Consider the following 22,110-nt stretch of genomic DNA (forward strand, 5'->3'; position numbering starts at 1 on the left):
GCCGGCGAATCGGTGCAGGCACCGCCCTCCACTCCCGCCTCTACGGCAGAGTTGGGGGAAAAGTTCAGCAACTTTTTTTTCCTTTTTTTTTTTTTTTGCATACACCCCCTCCCCTTGCTCAAAGTTGGGGAATAAAATTTGGCCCGTCCGGGGCTCGCGGGCTGGGCCGCAGGCGCCCTGCGATTCCCCGCTTGGGGCTATCTCACCCCTGCCCAGCCCCAGGCCGGCTCACCTGCCCTCGGACTCCAGCCGGACCTCTCCCCCTTGCACCCCTGGCATGCATGATTGTGCTGCCCACCGTCTGCCCCGTGCCTCGCAGAAACTGGCGCGAGGAGGGAGAAGCTTGGCTACTGGTGCCTAAGCTCCGTGGGCTCTGGGCCTTGGCCCAGCGGTGAGAACTCAGGTGTAGGAGGAAGAGGAGGAAGGCGGAAAACCCTCCAACCCTGTCCTCGCCGTCTTTCCTCAGGGTCTCCCACCCACTCCTCCCTTTCTCTTCCCTGTTGTCTTTCCCTCTTTTTCCGGTCTCCGAGCCTCAGGCAGCTTTAGCCTGGTTCCCTGTAGAGCCCTAGCAGGGTCGGGGAGACACTTCGATCCTTCGTCCTCACTTTGCAGAACGGGACACCGAGGCCCGGGGCGGCGGCGCTGCCTCGGCTGCACCTGGATCATTTGCGCCCGCGTTGGCTCCCTTTGCTCTCCTCTGCCTTAGACTTTTCTGCGGACTGGTGCTGAGTGTTGCCCAACCGCGCCGAGATCTGGGCGCCGGTCTCTCGATCTGGACTCGGTTTGGCTCGTCCTCCTCTGTAATCGCGTGTCTTTAGGCTCCAGCAGGGCCCGGGGCCACACTTCCCCACTCCCACCGCTAACTTGGGGATCAGTGACTCTCCCATTGCTGACTAGCAGGGCGAGGCATTTTTATTTTCTGCGAAACGCGATGAGGGCGGGGATGCTATGATATTGAGGCTGGGGTCGCAGCGCAGCAGCTGCCGGCCATAGGGCCAGGGGTCTCCGTGGCGAGCGAAGGCTCATCTCCCCGCGGAACGCGACCGCAGGCTTGCGGTGTGGCCGCCCTGGAATGTTGGCGCCGTCGTGTCCCTGTCCCCCTTTCGTCGCCAGCTGAGGTGCAGGTCTTGCTCAAGAAGGCGCTTCGACCTGAAAGCAGGCCTTTCAGGTACTGTGCAGAGGGGCCACTGCCTGTGGCTCGCAGATTTGAAATAAAGCAGAGGTCACTATATAGGGTTCCACCGTTGCTAGCACTGAGCGGCTGGTTCTTACTAAGCCCAGGTACCCCTTTTTTGGAGCAAGACTGGGTTCTAAATGTATCAACAAAAAGTGGGGAGTTGGTGCTTCTGCTTTAGCCACTAGCTGTTGGCCAGATTGTCATCTCCCCCAACCCCCTGAATGGTCAGCGCTCCCAAGAGTGCATAGATTCAGCTATGCCTAATGTACCCGAAGTTATTACAGCCCCGGAGTCCTGTGGGCCATAAATCCCTTTTAAAGTTCTTTAGAAGCAGTCTGCCTCATGCACCTGTGTTCAGAGATAGTGACTAATTCGTTCAAATCTGTGATCTACAGGGCCATTCATGCTGCAGATGTCTGAGTGACAGTTACCTGTAAGGCACATCATGCAGGGAGCAGCCACCTCTGGTGACACTTGACAGATGGCCTCTCATTTCATACTCAGCACAGGTGTGAAAGCATGGGTTATGACTCTGAGAGGGAAGCAGCATTTTAAAGTGACAAACCCAAGGTCTAACTGTAAGGGACAGGACTGGGATTTGAAGCCAAGGGTGTTTAACGTCTCAGGGCTTTCCACTGAAAGCTGTGTTCACCACTGTGCGGCGTGCTCATCCTTACTTGCTTCATAGGATAGTTGTGTCCCATTTTATAGAGAAGAAAACTGAGGCACAAAAGGGTTAAACTGATGGCCAAGTTAGCTACAGAGCCAGAATTAGAATCCAGGTCTACCTGCTCCAAGTTCATACATCCCATTCCACTGCCTCTGAAAGTTCCTGTGAGAGCAATGTTAGTGCCAACTCAGGCTAGCCCTTAACCATTTCAACCCCTCCCTAAACACACAAAAAAACAGGAAGGTGAGAGTGTAATTCTTGCTTACTGATAGTTGTCATGTCTTACTGAAGGAAGTGAAATTATAGTCAAACTCATTGAATATGTTGAAAAGTGGTTTTATTAAGAGTGAAGTGATACAGTTTTGAAGTCTTAACAACACTTTCATGTAATGAAAGGTAATAAAGAAAGAAAGGTTCTACTCATCACTGTGTAGAGTATCAATTTGAAATGCAGCATGAGTGTAAAGGAGGGAAAAGACTACTGAAAACTTTTATGTTTACTGCATAACCAAGAAGGAAGGATCAGGGCATAAGCTTGAAACTTTTTTTTTTTTTTAATTTTCCCATCAAATATGTTTTCCACTTATTAGTTACATAATCCAAGGGAATATTTGTGTATTTGTTTCTGGTCTTTTGTTCATCATGTTGTGTAATCTGTGTCTCACTGAAGTTAGACCAGTTTTTCTACTCTGTGCTGTCGCCCTTCTGGATTGCACAACTTGGAGGGCTGATACGTTGTGTAACACGTTCAGCATTAAATAAAGTATTATGAAAAAAGATATCAAAGGTAAGGAGGAAAGATAGGCATCACCGGGGCGCCTACATTCAAAGGTAACATTTGGGATTTCTGAAGCGTGTCCCTTTTCATCATCACCAAAAAGACAGGCAAGACCTTCCCCTGCTGAGCAGGGAAGGATGAAGGGCTAAGGAAGGAGTTCTAGCTAATGGGTTTCTTGACCTTTTCTGTCTGTCTTGCTGCCCCACCTCCTAGGTGCTTATATCACCAACTCTGCTTCCTGACCTAGTGGGGCAATTTGGGTTTGTGCTTTATCTGCAGTACGTGTTGGCATAGATACCACGAAACAGCTCTCTGGAGCTTAAAACTGCACAAATCCCTATGTGCTGGGTTGGATTGTGGCTGCTCACAGCTAGATCTCAGCTATTCCTGGTCCTTGTACTAAGCCTACAAATGAATCATGCTGGGTCTAGTCTGGGCAGGGTTAAAGAGGATGGATACAAGCAAGGGACCCAGGAAGTGGGCATGCCTGGAGCTGGCTTGTGCTGACTGTGGAGCTAGACTAGGTCAGAGTAAGTCCCAGGCAGCAGCAGGGCTGTGTGTGAAATCCCTTCAGACTCTCCTGTGACCTCCTGTGGGAAATTCCTGATAGGCCCTGATGTATCCTGATGAGCCCCATATAGACATTTGCAGCCCTGGACTCAGCTGCAGCAGCAACAGTTGCTGCCATTTATTGAGCAATTACTGCTTCTAATTTCTTTTTTTGTTGTTTTTTTTTGAGACAGAGTCTTGTTCTGTCACCCAGGCTGGAGTGCAGTGGTGTGATCTCGGCTCACTGCAACCTCTGCCTCCTGGGTTCAAGCAATTCTCCTGCCTCAGTCTCTCAAGTAACTGGGACTACAGGTGCGCGCCACCACGCCCAGCTAATTTTTGTATTTTTAGTAGAGATGGGGTTTCACCATATTGGCCAGGCTGGTCGCGAACTCCTGACCTCATGATCTGGCCACCTCAGCCTCCCAAAGTGCTAGGATTACAGGCATGAGCCACTGCGCCCAGCCAGCTTCTAAATTTTAAAAATACTTTGGGGATAATAGAACACAAATTTTTCTGAGAGTCCTCATGCGAAGCTGGAGTCTGAGTTCTGTTCTCATTTTATTATTGCGCATGGAATCTTAAAATTGTCATAATGTCATGTAATCCAGTGCTTATCAGTGGGTTGGAAAAACCTGCTTTTCCAGGTTCTAGGACATTAAAGAAGTATATGTAGAGATTCCTAGGAGTAGGGTTCAGGAATTTATTACCTAAAATATAGTCCTACTGGAGCCAGGCGCTGTGGCTCATGCTTATAATCCCAGCCCTTTGGGAGGCCAAGGCGGGTGGATCACTTGAGGTCAAGAGTTTGAGACCAGCCTGGCCACATGGTGAAACACCGTCTGTACTAAAAATACAAAAATTAGCTGGGCGTGCTGGTGGGGCCTGTAATTCCGGCTACTTGGGAGGCTGAGGCAGGAGAATTGCTTGAACCCGGGTGGTGGAGGTTGCAGTGAGCCAAGATTGCACCACTGCACTCCAGCATGGGCCATTAAGCAAGACTCTGTCTTAAAAAAAAAAAAAAAACAAAAGTCCCATTCAATGCAGGAATCCTATAACCTTCCTGATCAATCAATGATTGCTGCTCTTTGCTTAAAGCTGGTAGTGAAAGGTAACTGTGCTGATCCCCTCCAGGCAGATTTATTCACATCCTGTTCTTGATCATACCCCTATATAGGCACCTCTGTTATGGATGCTTCCCACCTACACCACTGTGCGCTCCTTAAGGCAGGGAGAGGGACTTCTTCATCTCTTGGTCTTTCCAGTGCCCAGCAAAGTGCCGGACCCAGAGCAGGGGCTTGATAGGTGTTGGTTGATGGAGTAAAATTCTACTCTGGAATGTTATCCCACCAACCTCAGATGATACCTTGTCTTTTAATCTCTTTATCTTCAGTACTGAGTTCAATGCCTGGCACACACTTGGTGTTCCATAATGCTAGGAAAATGAGCTCGTAATTACCACTCCCTTTTAAATGTCAGGTTTTTTACTTTAGCTAGGTTCTTCGGTTTTATTTATTTACTCACTGAAAAATAGTATACTGAGTGCTATACTATGCCCCTAAACCCTGAATTAGGTGCTAGGTATACACAGTGAGTGAAAGAGATAAAGTCCTTGCCCTTTTGGAGTTTATATTCAAGCAGTAGAAAGTGTCTGGTGCAAAGTGTTAGCTTTTATTGTATTTTTTTTTTCCTGTGTGAGATTTCTCGCCATTCCTCAATTCAACAAATATGCCTTTTTTATTTTTTTTTTAAAAATAAATGTTCTATCTCTATAGTACTTTTTAAAAGTTTCTGTAGATATTTTTCTTCCCTAGGAACCCAAGTTTTCTTCTCTTCTCCTTTCATCCCATATGTATGGATCACTTGCTCCAAGCCTAGGGACTCAGCTAGGCACCAGCTACAGGACATGTTGGCTGCCCTTGGGATCCCAGCAACAAAGCCAACTCTTCACTTACTCCCACTCCCCCTCTCTCTTTCTCCCTCTTCTGCAGAGATGTGGACTGCATCTGGACAAATTGTCTGCTTCTCTGAGTTCTTCAAGATTGTGGCCTCTTAGTCACGGGAGGATGCCCTGTTTCTCTTGGAATGATACTGAAGTTGGCATAAGTGGGTTCCTTACACCTCAGTGGCCCTCAGTCATTGTGAATTCAGGCACTGAGAAGACAGAGCAGGCTCTTGATCAGCTGTGTCAGGCTGGGGGCATCCCCCATATAAGGTTCTAAACAGTCACCAAACATTCTAATAATCCACTCCTCCCTGAAATCTGAAATCTGCCTGATTTCTTCCAACTTCTTGGCACTAATGAATACCCCTTAAAGTTACGGTTTTCAGGATATGATTTGACCTAATATGCTTCATGATATCCAGATATATTATGGTAGAGTTTTATTGCTCATTGAACTGCTTTATTGTACAATACAGAGACAGAATAGGACCTACACAGATTAATTTTGTTGACAAAACAACTTATTTTCCAAAAGAATTAGATAGCTCTCCTCTAAGCCTTAATCAAAAATGTTTAGACTGGGTGTAGTGGCTCACGCCTGTAATCCCAGCACTTTGGGAAGCAGAGGTGGGCAGATCACGAGGTCAGGAGATTGAGACCATCCTGGCTAACACGGTGAAACCCCGTCTCCACTAAAAACACAAAAAATTAGCAGGGCGTGGTGGTGGGTGCCTGTAGTCCCAGCTACTTGGGAGGCTGAGGCAGGAGAATGGTGTGAACCTGGGAGGCAGAGGTTGCAGTGAGCCAAGATTGTGCCACTGCACTCCAGCCTGGGCGACAGAGTGAGACTCCATCTCAAAAAAAAAAAAAAAAAGCTTAATAAAAGCTCACAACAGTTATCAATATGGAAATTGACTAGAGTATATTAATCCACGTGTGGTTATAGTTATTAATGAATTGCATTTGAGTTTGCCCGCAAAATATATAGTTCTATATACTCTTTTACGATAGTGCTAACATGGAACATAGTCCATGATTGATTATATGCTCGGCCATAAAGCGAGTCTCCATAAATTAAAAAAAAAAAAATCAAAACCATACCAGCCATACTCTCAGCCACAGCAGAATAAAAATAAAAATCAATACCAAGATGATCTTTCAGAAACCACACAATAACATGGAAATTAAACGACTTAGTCCTGAATGAGTTTTGGGTAAACAACGAAATTATGGCAGAAATTTAAAAATCTCTTGGAAATACATGAAAACAGAGATACAACATACCAAAATCTCTGGGTTGCAGCAAAAGCACTGTTAAGAAGAAAGGTTACAGCACTGAGTGCCTACCTCAAAAAGTTAGAAAGATCTCAAATTAATGATCTAATGTCACACCTAGAAGAACCAGAAAAATAAGAACAAATGAATCTCAAAGTTAGCAGAAGAAGAGAAATAATTAAAATCAAAGTGGAACTGAATGAAATTGAGGCCCCAAATCCATACAAAGAATTAACAAAAACCAAGTTGGTTATTTGAAAGGATAAACAAGATCAGTAGACCACTAGCTAGATTAACAAAGAAAGAAGATCCAAATAAGCACAATCAGAAACAACAAAGGTGACGCTATGCCTGATCTCACATAAATACAAAAGATCCTCAGAGACTACTGTGAATATACCTCTATGCACACAAACTAGAAAATCTACAGGAAATGGATAAATTCCTGGAAATACACAGTCTCCCAAGGTTGAATCAGGAAGGAATTGAAACACTGACCAGATCAATATTTAGTTCCAAAATTGAATTAGTAATAAAAAATCCTACCAATCATAAAAATCCTGGACCAGATGGATTCACAGCCTAATTCTACCAGACATACAAAGAAGAGTTGGTACCAGTTCTACTGAAACTATTCCTAAAATCAAGGTGGAGGGACTCTTCCCTAACTCATTCTACAAAGCCAGCATCACTCTGATACCAAAACCTGGTAAAGATACAACAAAAAAAGAGAACTACAGGCAAATATCCCTGATGAACATAGATGCAAAAATTCTCAACAAAATACTAGCAAACTGAATTCAACAGCACAGCAAAAAGTTGATTCACCATGAACAAGTAGACTTCATTCCTGGGATGCAAGATTGGTTCAACATATACAAATCAATAAATGTGACTCACCACATACGAAGAATTAAAAGCAAAAGTCATGTGATTATCTCAATAGACACAGAAAAAGCTTTTGATAAATCCAACATCCCTTCATGATAAAAACCATCAAGAAGCTAGGCCTCGAAGGAACATACATAAAAATAATAAGAGCCATCTATGACAAACCCATAGCCAACATCATGAAAACTGGAAGCATTCTTCTTGAGAACTGGAACAAGACAAGGATGCCATGCCCACTCTCACCACTCCTATTCAACATAGTACTAGAAGTGCTCGCCAGAACAATCAGGCAAGAGAAAGAAATAAAAGGCATCTGAATAGGAAAATAATAACTCAAACCATCTCTTCGTGGACTATATGATTCTATACCTAGAAAACCCTAAAGACTCTGCCAAAAGGCTCCTGGAACTGTAAACAGTAAAGTTTTAGGATACAAAATCAATGTACAAAAATCAGTAGCATTTCTATATACCAATAGCATTCAAGCTGAGAGCGAAATAAAGAACTCAATCCCATTTACAATAGACACACACACACACCCCTAGGAATACATCTAACCAAGGAGGTGAAAGAATCCCTATAAGGAGAACTACAAAACACTGCTCAAGAAATCAGAGATGACACAAACAAATGAAAACATTCCATGTTCATGACTTGGAAGAATAAGTATCATTAAAATGGCCATACTGCCCCAAGCAATCTACAGATTCAATGATATTCATATCAAACTACCAACATCATTTTTCACAGAATTGGAAAAAAATTCTACAATTCATACAGAACCAATAAAGACCCCAAATAGCCAAAGCGATCTTAAGAAAAAAGAACAAAGCCAGAGACATCACATTACCCAACTTCAAACTATGTTATAAAGCTACAGTAACCCAAACAGCATGATACTGGTACAAAAACATACACATAGACCAATAGAACAGAATAGAGAACCCAGAAGTAAAGCCACACACCTACAGGCATCTAATCTTTAACAAAGTTGACAAAAATAAGCAATGAGGAAAGGACTCCCTATTCAATAAATGGTGCTGGGATAGCTGGATAGCCATATGCAGAAGGATGAAACTGAATCCCTGCCTTTCAAGATATATAAAAATTAACTCAAGTTGGATTAAAGATTTAAATGTAAGACCTCAAACTAAGAATCCTAGAAGAAAACCTAGGGAACACCACTCTGGACATCAGCCTTAGGAAAGAATTTATGACTAAGTCCTCAAAAGCAATTGCAATAAAAACATTGACAAGTGAGACCTAATTAAACTAAAGAGCTCCTGCACAACAACAGAAACTATCAACAGAGTAAACAGACAACCTAGAGAATGGGAAAAAAATGGTAAATTATGCATCCAGCAAAGGTCTAATACCCAGAATCTATAAAGAACTTAAATAATTGAACAAGCAAAAATCAACCCCATTAAAAAATGGACAAAAGACATGAACACATCTCAAAAGAAGACATACAAGCAGCCAACAAACATATGAAAAAATGCTCCACATCACTAAATGGAGAAATGCAAATCAAAACCACGATAAGATACCATCTCACACCAGTCTGAATGGCTGTTATTAAAACGTTAAAAAACAACAGATGTTGTTGAGGCTGTGGAGGAAAGGGAATGCTTATACATTGTTGGTGGGAATGTAAATTAGTTCAGTCACTGCGGATATCAGTTTGGAGATTTCTCAAAGAACTCAGAACTACCATTCGACCTAGAAATCCCATTACCGGGTATATATCCAAGAGAAAACAAATTGTTCTACCAAAAAGACACATGTACTTTCATGTTCATCAAAGCACTATTCAGAATAGCAAAGACATGGAATCAACCTAGGTGCCCATCAGCGGTAGATTGGATAAAGAAAATGTGGTACATACATACCATGGAATACTACACAGCCATAAGAAAGAATGAAATCATGTCCTTTGAAGCAACATGGGTGCAGCTGTAGGCCACTGTCCTAAGTGAATTACGGTAGGAACAGAAAACTAAATACCACATGTTCTCGCTTACAAGTGGGAGCTAAACTTTGGGTATTCATGGACATAAACATGGCAACAGTAGAAACTGGGGACTACTAATGGGAGGAGGGAGGAAGGGGGACAAAGGCTGAAGGCTGAAAAATAAACAGTTGGGTACTATACCCACTACCTGGGTGATGGGGTCATTCATACTCCAAACCTCGGCATCCTGCAATATACCCAGGTAACACACTTGCACATGTATCCCCTGAATCTAAAATGAAAGTTGAAAAAAAAATTAAAAATTGGAACAAGCATTTTTATTTAAAAAAATAGATAAAATAGTGTTAAGCTTTGTTACAGATTCAATCTTTGAGATGACAATTTAAAATTGTTTTAAAGTTGATTTGAAGAATACAAAATGGCATTACTTTTAAATTATTTCTCCTTTTTTTTATTTTTAGAGACAAGGTCTTGCCCTTTTACCCAGGCTGGAGTGCAGTGGCGTGATTATAGCTCACTGCAGCCTTGAACTCCTGGTCTCAAGCAGTTCTCCTGCCTGGGCCTCCTAAAGTGCTGGGATTACAGGTGTGAGCTACCACTCCTGGCCTAAGATGGCTGCTTTTAAAGAAATCAGGGTCTGGAGGACAGAGAAGTATCTTCTAGTCTGTAATCTTTCCTTGAGATAGGATAAGATGTGGATGAAAATTAGGACTTTGTGGTGAAACAGACCTTGGTTGGTTCAAAGGCCATCTCATTATAGCTGTGCATCCTTAGGCAAATGACTTAACCTCTCTGAACCTCCTTTCCCCCCACTCCCTAAAATTGGGATTAAAATATACATCTTCATGGGCTGTCATGAGGATTACATGAGATAATAGATGCAAAGTACTTGCACAATGTTTAGCACATGGCAAGTACTTAATAGCTATTATTATCATATGTTATATATAATATAATCCAAACCAATCCAGAGAAATGCGTATCTGCCTTTGTGTTTATTTTTGCTTTCTCAATCACTTCGTAGAGATTTCCAATAGTTAGATTGTGTGTAAGAACCTTTCGCGAGGAAATTGTTTCTTCTAAGCAGCAGAATCTGTGTCCTCCACCCCCTTCCCCGACCTCCCACTGCCCCTACTGCAGGTGCAGCTATGTTCAGTACTCAGCTCAGCAAATGCCCCAGTGTCTTTGGAATCCTTACAACTAGAAGCCTGCTTTATCTTTTTTTTTTTTTTTTTTTTTAAAGGAGAAATGGCTTGAGAAAGACATGTTGAAGAGGAAAAATACGTTAAGGTAACATGTTCTTATCTATTACTAGAATTAGTCAATGCATCATAATTTAAGGTTTTGTATCTAGTTTATTGGCTCTATTAGTAAATATCACCTCTCTTGTGCTTCACTTTCCTGTCTCTTTGCTCCCAGCACAGAGATTTCTTAATTGCTTGAAGTACAGGCCCAGGCATAGAATTGGATTTGGTTACCACTTGCCAACTGTCTTAGAATCTGAAGACTCCAGCTCTAGTTCCCGACTCTGACACCTACTAGCTCTGCAACTTTACGGAAACCACTTACCTCTCTGAGCCTCAGTTTCCTCCTCTGTGAAATGGGCTGGTAATATCTATGGCATAAACACTTCATTGATGGTATGGGACCAGCTGAGGCTACAAGTGTAAAAATATTGTTTGAAAATGTTAATTGCTATTTGATTATAAGGACATAGTCTTATTAATATGATCAAATCTCTTGCTAGCTTATTGGTTTTCATAGTAGGAGATGTCACTTGCTGTGCGATCTTGGACAAGTCACTGAACTCCTCTGAGCTGCACTCGTCTCCCCTGTAACATGGGGAGTGTAGACTTGATTACTTAAATCTCCCGACATCGTACAAGTCTATGCTGATGCCGAGCTTTCCTTGAAAACTGGAAAAAGCACAGGCTTTGAAGTGTGATGGACTGGGGTTAATCCCCTGCTTCACAGCTTGCTTTCTTTTTGTCTCTCTGTACCCATAAGGATTATCTCAGAATGATCTGGGTATTTTTGAAAAGTAACAGCAGCTTGGCTGAAAGACAATTTTGTCCATAATAAGACATCAGCTGTGAGCAGAGTTCTGCAGTGGCAGAAAACGGATCAGGCAGAGATTCAGGTTATAATTTCCAAACTCCAGTGGCCCACTTGGTAGAACCAGTTTGCATTTGTATGTTGAATTTTTGTTGACTAAATAACAGTGATCCAAGAGCTGAGATGGTTTATTGGTCCTCTTGGGGAGGGCTGTATTGCTGTCAAGGTGTGGATAAAGCATTTCAGGCAGGCCTGCCGCTGGCCCCTGGCCCAGTGGTGTACAGCTGTGTCAATAGGCCTTTGAAGTCCACGCACACCAGCTGACTGGTCAGCAGCCCCTGGGATGGTCTCTACAACCTTCGTCACAGGAAATTGGGAAAGGCATGTGGAAGCTAGCATTGCTGGAAGGGGAGGAGAAGAAAACTGTTGGGATCTTTGATGAAAACATGGGAGAAATTTACCAAAATTCACAGGCTGAGCCCATCAGCAGGATCTGGGATTGTTGATCACTGCTCTCCTTCTTTCTGGCTCCAGATCAATGTGATGAGCTGGTTTATCTTTATTCTGACTCGAATATGTGCCAGCTAGCGCTTCTGTGAGGCCTCAGTATAGTGATAGTATGCTGGAGGCGCTGGTGGTGCTGCAAGATTCACAGAGAGCTTCTGAATCATTAAAACGTGAACAACCCCTGTTCAGAAGAATTTTAATGCAAAATATTTTTCATTTTTATTTTTTCGTCTTTTCTGATATTCTACATTCTGGGGCACTGGCCTCTTCCCTGCCCCAGGATTTTCCCCATGTGCAGGTGCTTCATCATCACATGATCTCATTTAATCTTCACAACATCCCTGAGGTATGTTGTCTTCAATCCCCCTTTGGCAAAAGAGGAAATGGAAGCTCTGGTTAAAACTTGGTGAAGATAACACAGCTTAGCAGGAAACCCTGAGCTGTCTGACTCTCAAGCCTGTGTTGGGAAATCCTGCCCTGTGCTGCCTCTTGTTGCAGAGATCCTATCTGGATAAAGTGCTGGGTAACCAGGAATCAGAACCTCTGGAGGACGAGTATGACTTCTTTTCTGTCCCTGCTGCTCGAGTTCAAACCCTCACCATCCTCTCCTCCTCTTCCCTGTTCTTGCTCTGTACCTCCACTCCGTCACTGAGTCTTGACACTTTGGCCCAGTGTCCCCCCTTGCACCCCTGCCTTTTCATTCTTACCCTTGTTGCCACACACCTGGGGCACTGCCGTAGCTGGCAGCTCCCTTTCTCACCAGTCTTTCCCTTTTCCATCTTTTCCACTAACCCTGCCAGACTCATCTTCCTTTAACACTGCTTTGTCCTATTTCATTAAAAATATCCCAGGGACTCATGAGATAAAGTCAAGACTCAGTGCTTGACCTGACACAGCCCCCAGTCCCCCCAGGTAGACCTCAAAGCTTCTACATTCGTTCTTTTTCACGCTGCTGATAAAGACAGACTTGAGACTGGGCAATTTACGAAAGAAAGAGGTTTGTTGGACTTATGGTTCCATATGGCTGGGGAGACCTCACAATCACAGTGGAAGGCAAGGAGGAGCAAGTCATGTCTTACATGGATGGCAGCAGGCAAAACAGTTTGTGCAGAGAAACTCCCATTTTTAAAACCATCAGATCTTGTGAGACCCATTCACTATCATGAGAACAGCATGGGAAAGACCCATCCCCATGATTCAATCACCTCCCACCAGTTCCTCCCATGACATATGGGAATTATAGGAATTGTGGGAGTTACAATTCAAGATGAGATTTGGGTGGGGACACAGTCAAAACATATCAACTCCTTTCCAGCCTTGCCCATCACTTCCTGCAATAACTTGATGTTGCCTGGGATTTTCTGACTTCAGCATCTTTGCTCATGAGGTATCTTCTACCTAGAATGTGACCTTCCCACCCAACCTCCCCTCTGCTAAAAATCTCATCATGGTCTGCCTGAAGTGGCCTGTCTTTAATGAAGCTTTCTCCAGTCACCTTGCAGGAATGATCCCCCCACCTTGAACACTTTGAAACACTTAAACAGTACTTCTCATATGTTGCTTCACTGTAATTATTTGAGTGCCAACATTTCCTCCCTATATACCAATGTGATGATGGAACCCATGTGTGTGTATCCCCCACTGTGGTCATTAGCATAGTGCCTTATATGTAGTGGTCCCTTTGTTGCATGTAAACTAATGAACAGTGAAAAGCAAATAATAAGAAATAAATCATTTATTGTTTCCCATGTGTCAGACAGTATTCTTAGTGCTATTCAAAGTAATAATTTAATTCTCGCAATAACCCTAAGAGGTAGATGATATTGTGTCTCCATTATAGAGATGAAGAAGCGAAGGCATGGTGAGCTGAGCTGGTCAAAGAATTAGTGATTGACCCAGGATTCAAATCTGAGCAATCTGCCTCCAGGACCTAGACTCCCGCTGTAGGTAGCTTTCCAGCACTCTTTTTCCTCTACCTAGAAGGTCCTGGCAGGCTAATAGGTTTACTCCTATAAGAGCTGCCTTGTGGGCTTATGGATTTCTCATTCGTGTCAGGTTCCTGAGGGCCTGAGAATGGTTAGCATCCAGCATTTCTTCCCTAAGCCAGTACACGAAGTCTTGCTCACCTCGGCAATGTGCATCAGGCAAACTGGTGAGAGAATGGAAACACCTCAAAGTGCTGAGATTCCCCAGATGACAGGTGCTGTGTAAAAATGAAGCAAGTTTTTCATGTTCTATAAAACATGATAACTTCATTACACAATAGTCAGAGTATGGGCCCATGACTCCTATAACACTCCACCTTTGGCATGAGGTGATTACTTGGTTAATAATCCTAATCGGCCTAGCGCGCATACCCTGTGTTTATCACTCCCATCTTATAATTAACTTTTATATTTTTCTTAACTTTAAAACTCAATCTGTGCACCAGAGTGCCTGCAAACCTATATTTATCTAATTTAGCAAACATTTGCATGCACTGCAATTAGACTCACATGTTGTGTGATCAACGTCCTTTGCTAATTGCATAATTCCTTTTGAGTTTAATCATCAAATGGCATTCTTTTTTTTTTAATGTCTATGTGGTTTGCTGTTGGTTGTGATCTGCATGTGAAATCTCAGGCTGAGGCACCTGCAATCACAGAACCAAAGATATTCGAGAGCCAAAGACAAGGGAGGAACTGTGTTCCTTGTTGACAGGTGAAGAAATGGAGGCTCAAGGAAGCTAACGGATTGCCTATCTAAACAGCTCATTATTAAGAGTTCCTGAAGATGGGAAAGGATAAATACATCTGCAAATAATATCTCCCAAACCATCCCAGTGTGGAAATTCCATGAATAATTTAAGTCAGTCCTGACTTAGCATGGAGCTTGAGTCTGGACACAATTAGTCTGGCCTTAAAAGAAATCAGGTTATGGGCAAGGACAAATCTGAGGATATTCTGGAATTATAACCCTTAGCAATTGTTTTTCAGCTTTGGGCTGCACATTGCCAGCAGATATTTTGGTATAAGGAAGGCTGGGTAAACTCTTTTCCCTTTCTTCTGCCTCGTAAAATTGTTTGTTTGTTTGTTTTACTGTAAATCTAGATTAGAATAGAATAGAGGGTTCAACCAGGAATTAGGGATTGGCCTAGAAAGAATCACAATATTGGAGCTGAAAGTCTATTTAGCTTGTTTTATAATAAAGTTCAGAAGGGCATATCCCAAATCACAGAGTTGGTTGCTCGCAGGTCTGGGACTTGAGCCCCTGTCTCTTCAGTTGATGTCCAGGTTTTTCTTACTGCAGTGCTCTACTAATCAAGAGACTAAGTGGACAGAGTGCTCCTTGTCCTCTCCTTCCCTCATGCAGCACCTTTACACAGTGGCTTGGATGCCTGGTGCTAAGCAAGGGTGTATGGATGCAGATGCCCAGACCTTGATCTAAGCTAGGATGCAAAAGCAAAGGATGCAAAGGAGAAGGGGACCCACCAGGATGGGGAAGGCACCACTCCCCAGTGTGGAGATTTTGAGCTCAGAGAGGATTTAAGAGAATGCGATGGCCTGGCCCATTGTGGGAACTCTACTGATAATTTGCCAAACGGACATGTGTACTAGCAAGGGGATGAATATAAGGTTATGAGGTCAGAAAGATAAGGACAGACTACTGCCACCTGCAGATTTTTTTTTTTTGCTTGGAAGGCAGAGGAAATCATGAAAGGATTACCACAGTGGAATTTCATCTGTTTATCTGCCTGGGAAGAAAGACCTGGTCATTAATGTGGAAGCACAAAGAATCATTGGGGGCTGGGAAATACAGCCCAGCAGTATGCTCAGAAAGAAAAGGAGACTGGGTCTTGGCTTCTGCCATGTTTCATAAACTGGGAAACCTTTCCATTGCTGCTGGCAGCAATAGAGATTCCCTGCTCTCTGAACCCATGGCTTGCTTCTACAGAAGTACTTGCCACCCTCTGTCAGATACATCCTCTGCATCTTTGGCTCCTACGTAACATCTAGAGAGTAGTAAGTGCTCAGTTAATGTAGGTTGAATGGATGAATGGATTGGACACTGTTGAAATGTTTAACTCTCGCCAAGTCAACAGGGCAAGGTAATGTATGGAATGGCCAAAGTAGTAATAAAAATATTTTAATAGCCTAGATGGATGGACCAAAGCAATAATATTAAATTTATCTAGAGGAAATGTAACACAAAGTCTATATTTAGCTTTAAAAATGTCAATTACCCAATCAAAGAGTGGGTGAAATACGAAGGATTGTAGTCCATATTTTAAAAAAGCCATCAGGGGTAGGTCTTAGTGGACCATAAGCTTAACATGAAAAAGTTTGTTATGTAGCTGCTGAAATAGTGTTGAAGTTCATCAGTAGAAGTCTGATCCAGATCAGTGCAAATGACACTACCTGCAGTTTTGCTTATTAAAATAAAAAATTTTTAGAGATGGAGTCTCACTAAGTTGTCCAGGCTGGAGTACAGTGGCCATTCACAGGTGCGATAATTGTATACTGCATCATTGAACTCCTGGCCTCAAGCAATTCTCCTGCTTCAGCCTCTTGAGTAGCTGGGGCTGTGGTTTTTCAGCTGGGTCAGGCCCCTCTGGGGCAGAAGTTCACTTGGGGTTCCCTTTTTTTTTTTTTTTTTTGAGATGGAATTTCGCTCTTGTTGCATAGGCTGGAGAGCAATGGTGTGATCTTGGCTCACCGCAACCTCTGCCTCCTGTGTTCAAGCGATTCTCCTACCTCAGCCTCTCAAGTAGCTGGGATTACAGGCATGCACCACCACGCCCAGCTAATTTTGTATCTTTAGTAGAGACAGGGTTTCTCCATGTTGGTCAGGCTGGTCTCGAACTCCCAACCTCAGGTGATCCGCCCACCTTGGCCTCCCAAAGTGCTGGGATTACAGGTGTGAGTGACCGCACCTGGCCCACTTGGGATTCTATTAATAGCCACACCTTACCCTGGGTCCAGTGCTTTAATTTACAAAGTGTTTTCTCAGGCATTATCTTGTTACATGGTTCTAATGAGGTGGTTTATATACTGGCAAAAGGCAAGCTGACTTGCTCAAGGTCACACAGCCAGTGAGTGGCAAATCCTAATCCTCCTAATTATTGTCTGTATTCTTTCTGCCACATCATGCAGCCTTTATGCAGAACAGAGCCCCCACTGTGCAGCCTCTAGAAGTGAGGCCCGCACGATGCTTGTCAAATGCTGTCAACAGTGGACACGCTCAGATGGGCACCTTGCAATCAGCCAGACTGACAGTGATGATTCACAAACCACTTTTCCTAACTGAAAGGGGCTTTGATGGGCCAGCTCACATTACAAGCACAGTGATCTTGGCCTCTTTCAAAACTGACAACAGGCAAACATTGAACATCACTTTACCTCTGAATGAGCCCAGGAAAGGACAGATCTCTTTTTGAGACAGGGTTTTGCTCTGTTGCCCAGGCTGGAGTGCAGTGGCATGGTCATGGCTCATTGCAGCCTCGACCTCCCAGGTAGCTGGGACTGCAGGCATGCATCACCATGCCTAGCAATTTTTTTTAATTTTATTTTTTTTGTAGAGATGAAGTCTCACTATGTTATCCAGGCTGGTCTCAAACTCCTGGGCTTAAGCAATCCCCCTGCCTCAGCCTCCCAAAGTGCTGGGATTACAGGTAGTGAGCCACTGCACCCAGTCAGATCTTCATTCTTAACTCCTCATATACTACAGAAAGGATTTGTGAGCTGGGGCTGTAAATGGGGACAGAAGAAAGGGAAAAGAGCTAACATTTTTCAGGTTCCTATTAAGTCCCTGGCTCAAGACATTTTCACATTTATTTAGGTTTCCTGTTTTTAATGCTCTGTCTCTAGCCTCACTGCTTACCCTGGTCACCATTTGACCCCTACAGTCTCCTGGCATTGGCTGTCATAATATTCACTCATATCCCTATGGTCTTTACCAGTGGTTATCTATTCTTCGAAAAAAGACTATGAAGTGGGTAGGATAGGGATTATTCTCTTATTTTACAATGAGGTGCAAGAATGTCTGTCTGTCTATCTTTTATCTATCTATCTGTCTGTCTATCTATCTATCTATCTATCTATCTATCTATCTATCTATCTATCTATCTATCTATCTATCTATCCATCCACCCATCTAACTCATCCATCCATCCATCCACCCATCCATGCATTTATTCATTGAGCAAATATTTATTAAGATAATTCTATGTTATAGGACGTATACAATGCACTGTAGAAACAGATGTCTGGAAAGCTCTTGGAGGAGATGTATAAACTTATGAGAAAAGGAGGCATCATAGTTGGGGCTTTTAATTAAGGAGGGTGACACAGATGTTGGGATGTGTCATGGCAGGCCGTGACCAGTAGGTGGCACTCCTGGTCCCAGAAGGCTCATGAGTTCTCCAAAGCCAAGCTTTCATTTCCTATTCATTACTGTGCTTAAAATTAAATTTTAAGACATGTCATTGAAAAGCTGTATTCAATTTGATTTAAATTCCATTTATTTGCTGTTAATTGTTCCATGCTTTTCTAAAAATGGTCAAATTAAATCTAGTTGTGTCAGGGCTTCCTGGATAAGTGAAAGTCACGTCCAGGAAATTCAGACTCCTAAGTAAGTTAGCACCTCCACTGATTGGCATTAGGTCCCGAATTCCTCTCTTAGGAAATACTCATGAAAAGTTAATGCTATTGGAAAAAGATCTGGAAGGAGACACTCTAAAATGTTAGTTGCGATATCTCCCAGTGGTGGTAGTACAGATGATTTTTAAATTATTTATTTATTTATTTTTTTGAGACGGAGTCTCACTCTGTTGCCCAGGCTGTAGTGCAGTGGCACAATCTCGGCTCACTGCAAGCTCCGCCTTCCGGGTTCACGCCATTCTCCTGCCTCAGCCTCCCAGGTAGCTGACACTACAGGCGCCAGCCACCACTCCCGGCTAATTTTTTTTTGTATTTTCAGTGGAGATGGGGTTTCACCGTGTTAGCCAGGATGGTCTCGATCTCCTGACCTTGTGATCTGCCCGCCTTGGCCTCCCAAAGTGCTGGGATTACAGGCGTCAGCTCACGCCCGGCCTAATTTTTAAAAAATACTTGACTACTTTGGCCGGGCGCGGTGGCTCACGCCTGTAATCCCAGCACTTTGGGAGGCCGAGGCGGGCGGATCACGAGGTCAGGAGATCGAGACCATCCTGGCTAACACGGTGAAACCCCATCTCTACTGAAAATACAAAAAAAAATTAGCCGGGCGTAGTGGCCTGTGCCTGTAGTCCCAACTACTCGGGAGGCTGAGGCAGGAGAACGGCGTGAACCTGGGAGGCAGAGCTTGCAGTGAACCGAGGTTGCACAACTGTACTCCAGCCTGGACGACAGAGTGAGACTCCATCTCAAAAAAATAAATAAATAGGCCGGGCGCGGTGGCTCACGCCTGTAATCCCAGCACTTTGGGAGGCCGAGGCGGGTGGATCATGAGGTCAGGAGATCGAGACCATCCTGGCTAACAAGGTGAAACCCCGTCTCTACTAAAAATACAAAAAATTAGCCGGGCGCGGTGGCGGGCGCCTGTAGTCCCAGCTACTCGGGAGGCTGAGGCAGGAGAATGGCGTGAACCCGGGAAGCGGAGCTTGCAGTGAGCCGAGATTGCGCCACTGCAGTCCGCAGTCCGGCCTGGGCGACAGAGCGAGACTCCGTCTCAAAAAAAAAAAAAATAAATAAAATAAAATAAATAAAATTAAATAATAAATAAATAAATACTTGTCTACTTTAGGCATTTTTTTACAGTCAGCATGTATTGTTTATTTTAAATTTTTCTTTTAAGTGTAATCTACAACTGGAAAAGTACACAAATCTTAAGTGAACATGTAAGTTTTAAGATATGTTTATATATACATATAGCCATCACCCAGCTTAAGATACAGAACATTATGAAAACCCCAGAAAGTTCCCTCATGTCCCTTCCCAATGACCCCCACCCCTCAGAAACCACTGTTCTGACTTCTACGGCCACAAATTAATTGTGACTATTTTTGAACTTCATATATACGGAGTCATACCAGATGTTTTCTTTTTTCGTGTCGAGACTTTTACTCAGTGCTATTTCTTTAGGTCGATGTGTATAAATATATAAAAACTTACCAAGCTGTTCTGTTGTATGTAGCAGCATCTGTTCCTTTTTCATTGATGTGTAGTGTTCCATTGTGTAAATACATTACAAAGGTATTTTTATCATCAGAAGAAAAATTTACTAAAAGTGGTTAAACATAGACATGGCAACTGCTTCTTTGCTGGAGGCCAGGAAGACATTTCAATGGCAAGATAATCCTCAGGGGATATGGATTTGGACAGCCATGCTGGAATTGGCCTGGGCTCAGAAGCACTGGGTCCTTAAGAAAGAAGTAAAAGGAGCTGTGGGGGGTCAGGTTTTCTGACTCAAGAAACATTGAGTTCATTGTTCTATGGTGGATAGGGCTAGCTCTTGCTCTCTGGCTGGGTGTTGGTGTCTGCCTTTAGGGCCAAGTTACTGGAGTTCTCTGTCCTCCCTGAGCCCCAGTTTTCTAATCAGTAAAATGTGTAGGCTTGCCATATTTACGGGCAAAAAAATGAAAGAAAAAAATCAAGAGAGCCAGTTAAATTTGAGTTTCAGATAAACAACGAACAATTTCTCAGTATAAGTATTTCCTGAGCATTGCATGGAACATATTCATACTAAAGAATTATTCATTGTTTATTTGCAATTTAAATGTAACACATTTTATCTGGCAGTGCTAAAAGTGAGTGTAATATAATGTCCTGCTTACACAATAACACGATTGTTTGTGAGAAAGTGTTTGAAAGCAGAATAGTATGTACAGATGAAAGAACATGGAGAGGGCCAGAAAGGCGGGGAGGAGAACTGCTGTGCTTGGGATTGAGTCCTGTGGGCCCCAATCAAGACAGGAGTCTTCCCTCTCTCATCCACCACCAAGACCCCAGTGCCCAGCTCCATGCCCATGCTGGAGAAAGAGACACTGAAACATTCTCTGTTGAACAACTGAGTGGATGTGATTTCCATCTCAGGCCTTTACCTGCTTTTGACCTTAGGTAAGCTATTTAATCATTCTGTGTTTCTTTTTTCTTACTGCATTATTCAGTTAATACTTCAAGGGACCAAATTCTTTGCTGGGTAGAGGGACTGATGAGCTGAGGTTTCCACCCTCCTGGAGTTTGTGTTATTAATATAAAGAGTGATGAGAGAATGCAAATATGTAAACAAGGAAAAAGAAAATTTCTGATGGTAAAAAATGCTGTGATGGAAATTAGACTGTGTGATAAGAGAGGGTCAGCAATGCTATTTGCATGGTTGGTTGGGGAGGGTCACTCTAAGGAGGTGACCCCCTGCAGAGCCCAGAGGAGGGGCATTCTAGGCAGAGGAAAAACAGGTTTTCTTACCTGAAAATTGAGGGTGAGAGGACCCACTTCTAACAACTGTAAGGGGTCAAATGAAGGAAACTTGACTTGAGACATTTTCAAGTTTCCTACAAGTAAAAGAGATCATGGACTTTTCTTCTGGAGTCTCAACCTCAGTCCCCAGATGACCTAGAAACTCAGAACGACAGTATTTGATTCCTTGGGTGTAATGCAGAGCTCAATATACTCAAAAACTGCACTGTAGACCAAACTGTTTCTACCTGTCAGTGGGGAGATAAGTACAAATATTGAAGGTGTTTAAAAACTTGGATAGTGCCATGACATTCAAGCACATATTGTATTTTGTAGATTTCCCCCATTTCATTTTTCTGTTAATCAATCTATGATAGACTGGGAAGAAGAAGAAGAAAAAAACCAACTGGTTCCTTAACCACAGAAAGTTTGAAAATTGGTATAGTGACTTTCGAGTCAGAAAAAGCTGAGATTTATTACAGTTCAATCTTTTACTGGCTGGTTGACCTTAATTAAGTTGCATAATCTCCCTGTGCCTTGGTTCCTTCTGCAAAATAAGCATAACAGTGCTCACGTGTTAAGGCTTTGGAATTTCAATGCAGTAACCTGTGTAAAGCACCCGACACAGTAACTGATGCAAAAATGTTAACTCCCACTATCATTATTACTAGTATATTACATCCATTAATTCAGTTAACAAATAGTACCATTTACTGAGTGCCTACTATGTGCTAGGCCTTCCCCTAGGAATAGGGGTACTATAAGAACCATAAAATCCCCCTCTCCCCAGTTTACATGGGGGAGAGATAATAAATGAGCAAGCAAAACAAATGATCTATCAGATGGTGGTAATTCCTATGGAGACAAAACAGGGA

At 43.1% G+C, this 22,110-nt stretch overlaps 1 long non-coding RNA gene across 3 annotated transcripts in view, besides 3 other annotated features; it reads left to right on the forward strand.

The window, feature by feature from the left end:
- The window catches only part of CSRP3-AS1 (CSRP3 and E2F8 antisense RNA 1), a 116,546-nt gene that overhangs the window by 45,029 nt on the left and 49,407 nt on the right, over nt 1-22,110 (forward strand). For 2 of the 3 annotated variants that reach the window (NR_183675.1, NR_183672.1), the window contains exon 2: nt 10,504-10,550. This is a non-coding gene — a long non-coding RNA (CSRP3 and E2F8 antisense RNA 1). Of the gene's footprint in view, nt 1-10,503; nt 10,551-10,679; nt 13,571-22,110 lie in introns of those variants that run through there. The other variant, NR_183673.1, reaches the window with a different exon arrangement.
- Nucleotides 94-203: an enhancer, noted in NCBI's record as "active region_4515". NCBI's record gives its function as "activates an Ori minimal core promoter by ATAC-STARR-seq in GM12878 lymphoblastoid cells {active_cell/tissue: GM12878}" and the evidence as "EXISTENCE:reporter gene assay evidence [ECO:0000049][PMID:35858748]".
- Nucleotides 409-980: an enhancer, noted in NCBI's record as "H3K27ac-H3K4me1 hESC enhancer chr11:19263697-19264268 (GRCh37/hg19 assembly coordinates)". NCBI's record gives its function as "activates a minimal SCP1, AML or CMV promoter by ChIP-STARR-seq in naive H9 embryonic stem cells {active_cell/tissue: H9 hESC(naive)}" and the evidence as "EXISTENCE:reporter gene assay evidence [ECO:0000049][PMID:30033119]".
- Nucleotides 981-1,550: an enhancer, noted in NCBI's record as "H3K27ac-H3K4me1 hESC enhancer chr11:19264269-19264838 (GRCh37/hg19 assembly coordinates)". NCBI's record gives its function as "activates a minimal SCP1, AML or CMV promoter by ChIP-STARR-seq in naive H9 embryonic stem cells {active_cell/tissue: H9 hESC(naive)}" and the evidence as "EXISTENCE:reporter gene assay evidence [ECO:0000049][PMID:30033119]".

The sequence above is a fragment of the Homo sapiens genome, chromosome 11, assembly GCF_000001405.40.
Source record: "Homo sapiens chromosome 11, GRCh38.p14 Primary Assembly".
Lineage (NCBI taxonomy): Eukaryota > Metazoa > Chordata > Mammalia > Primates > Hominidae > Homo > Homo sapiens.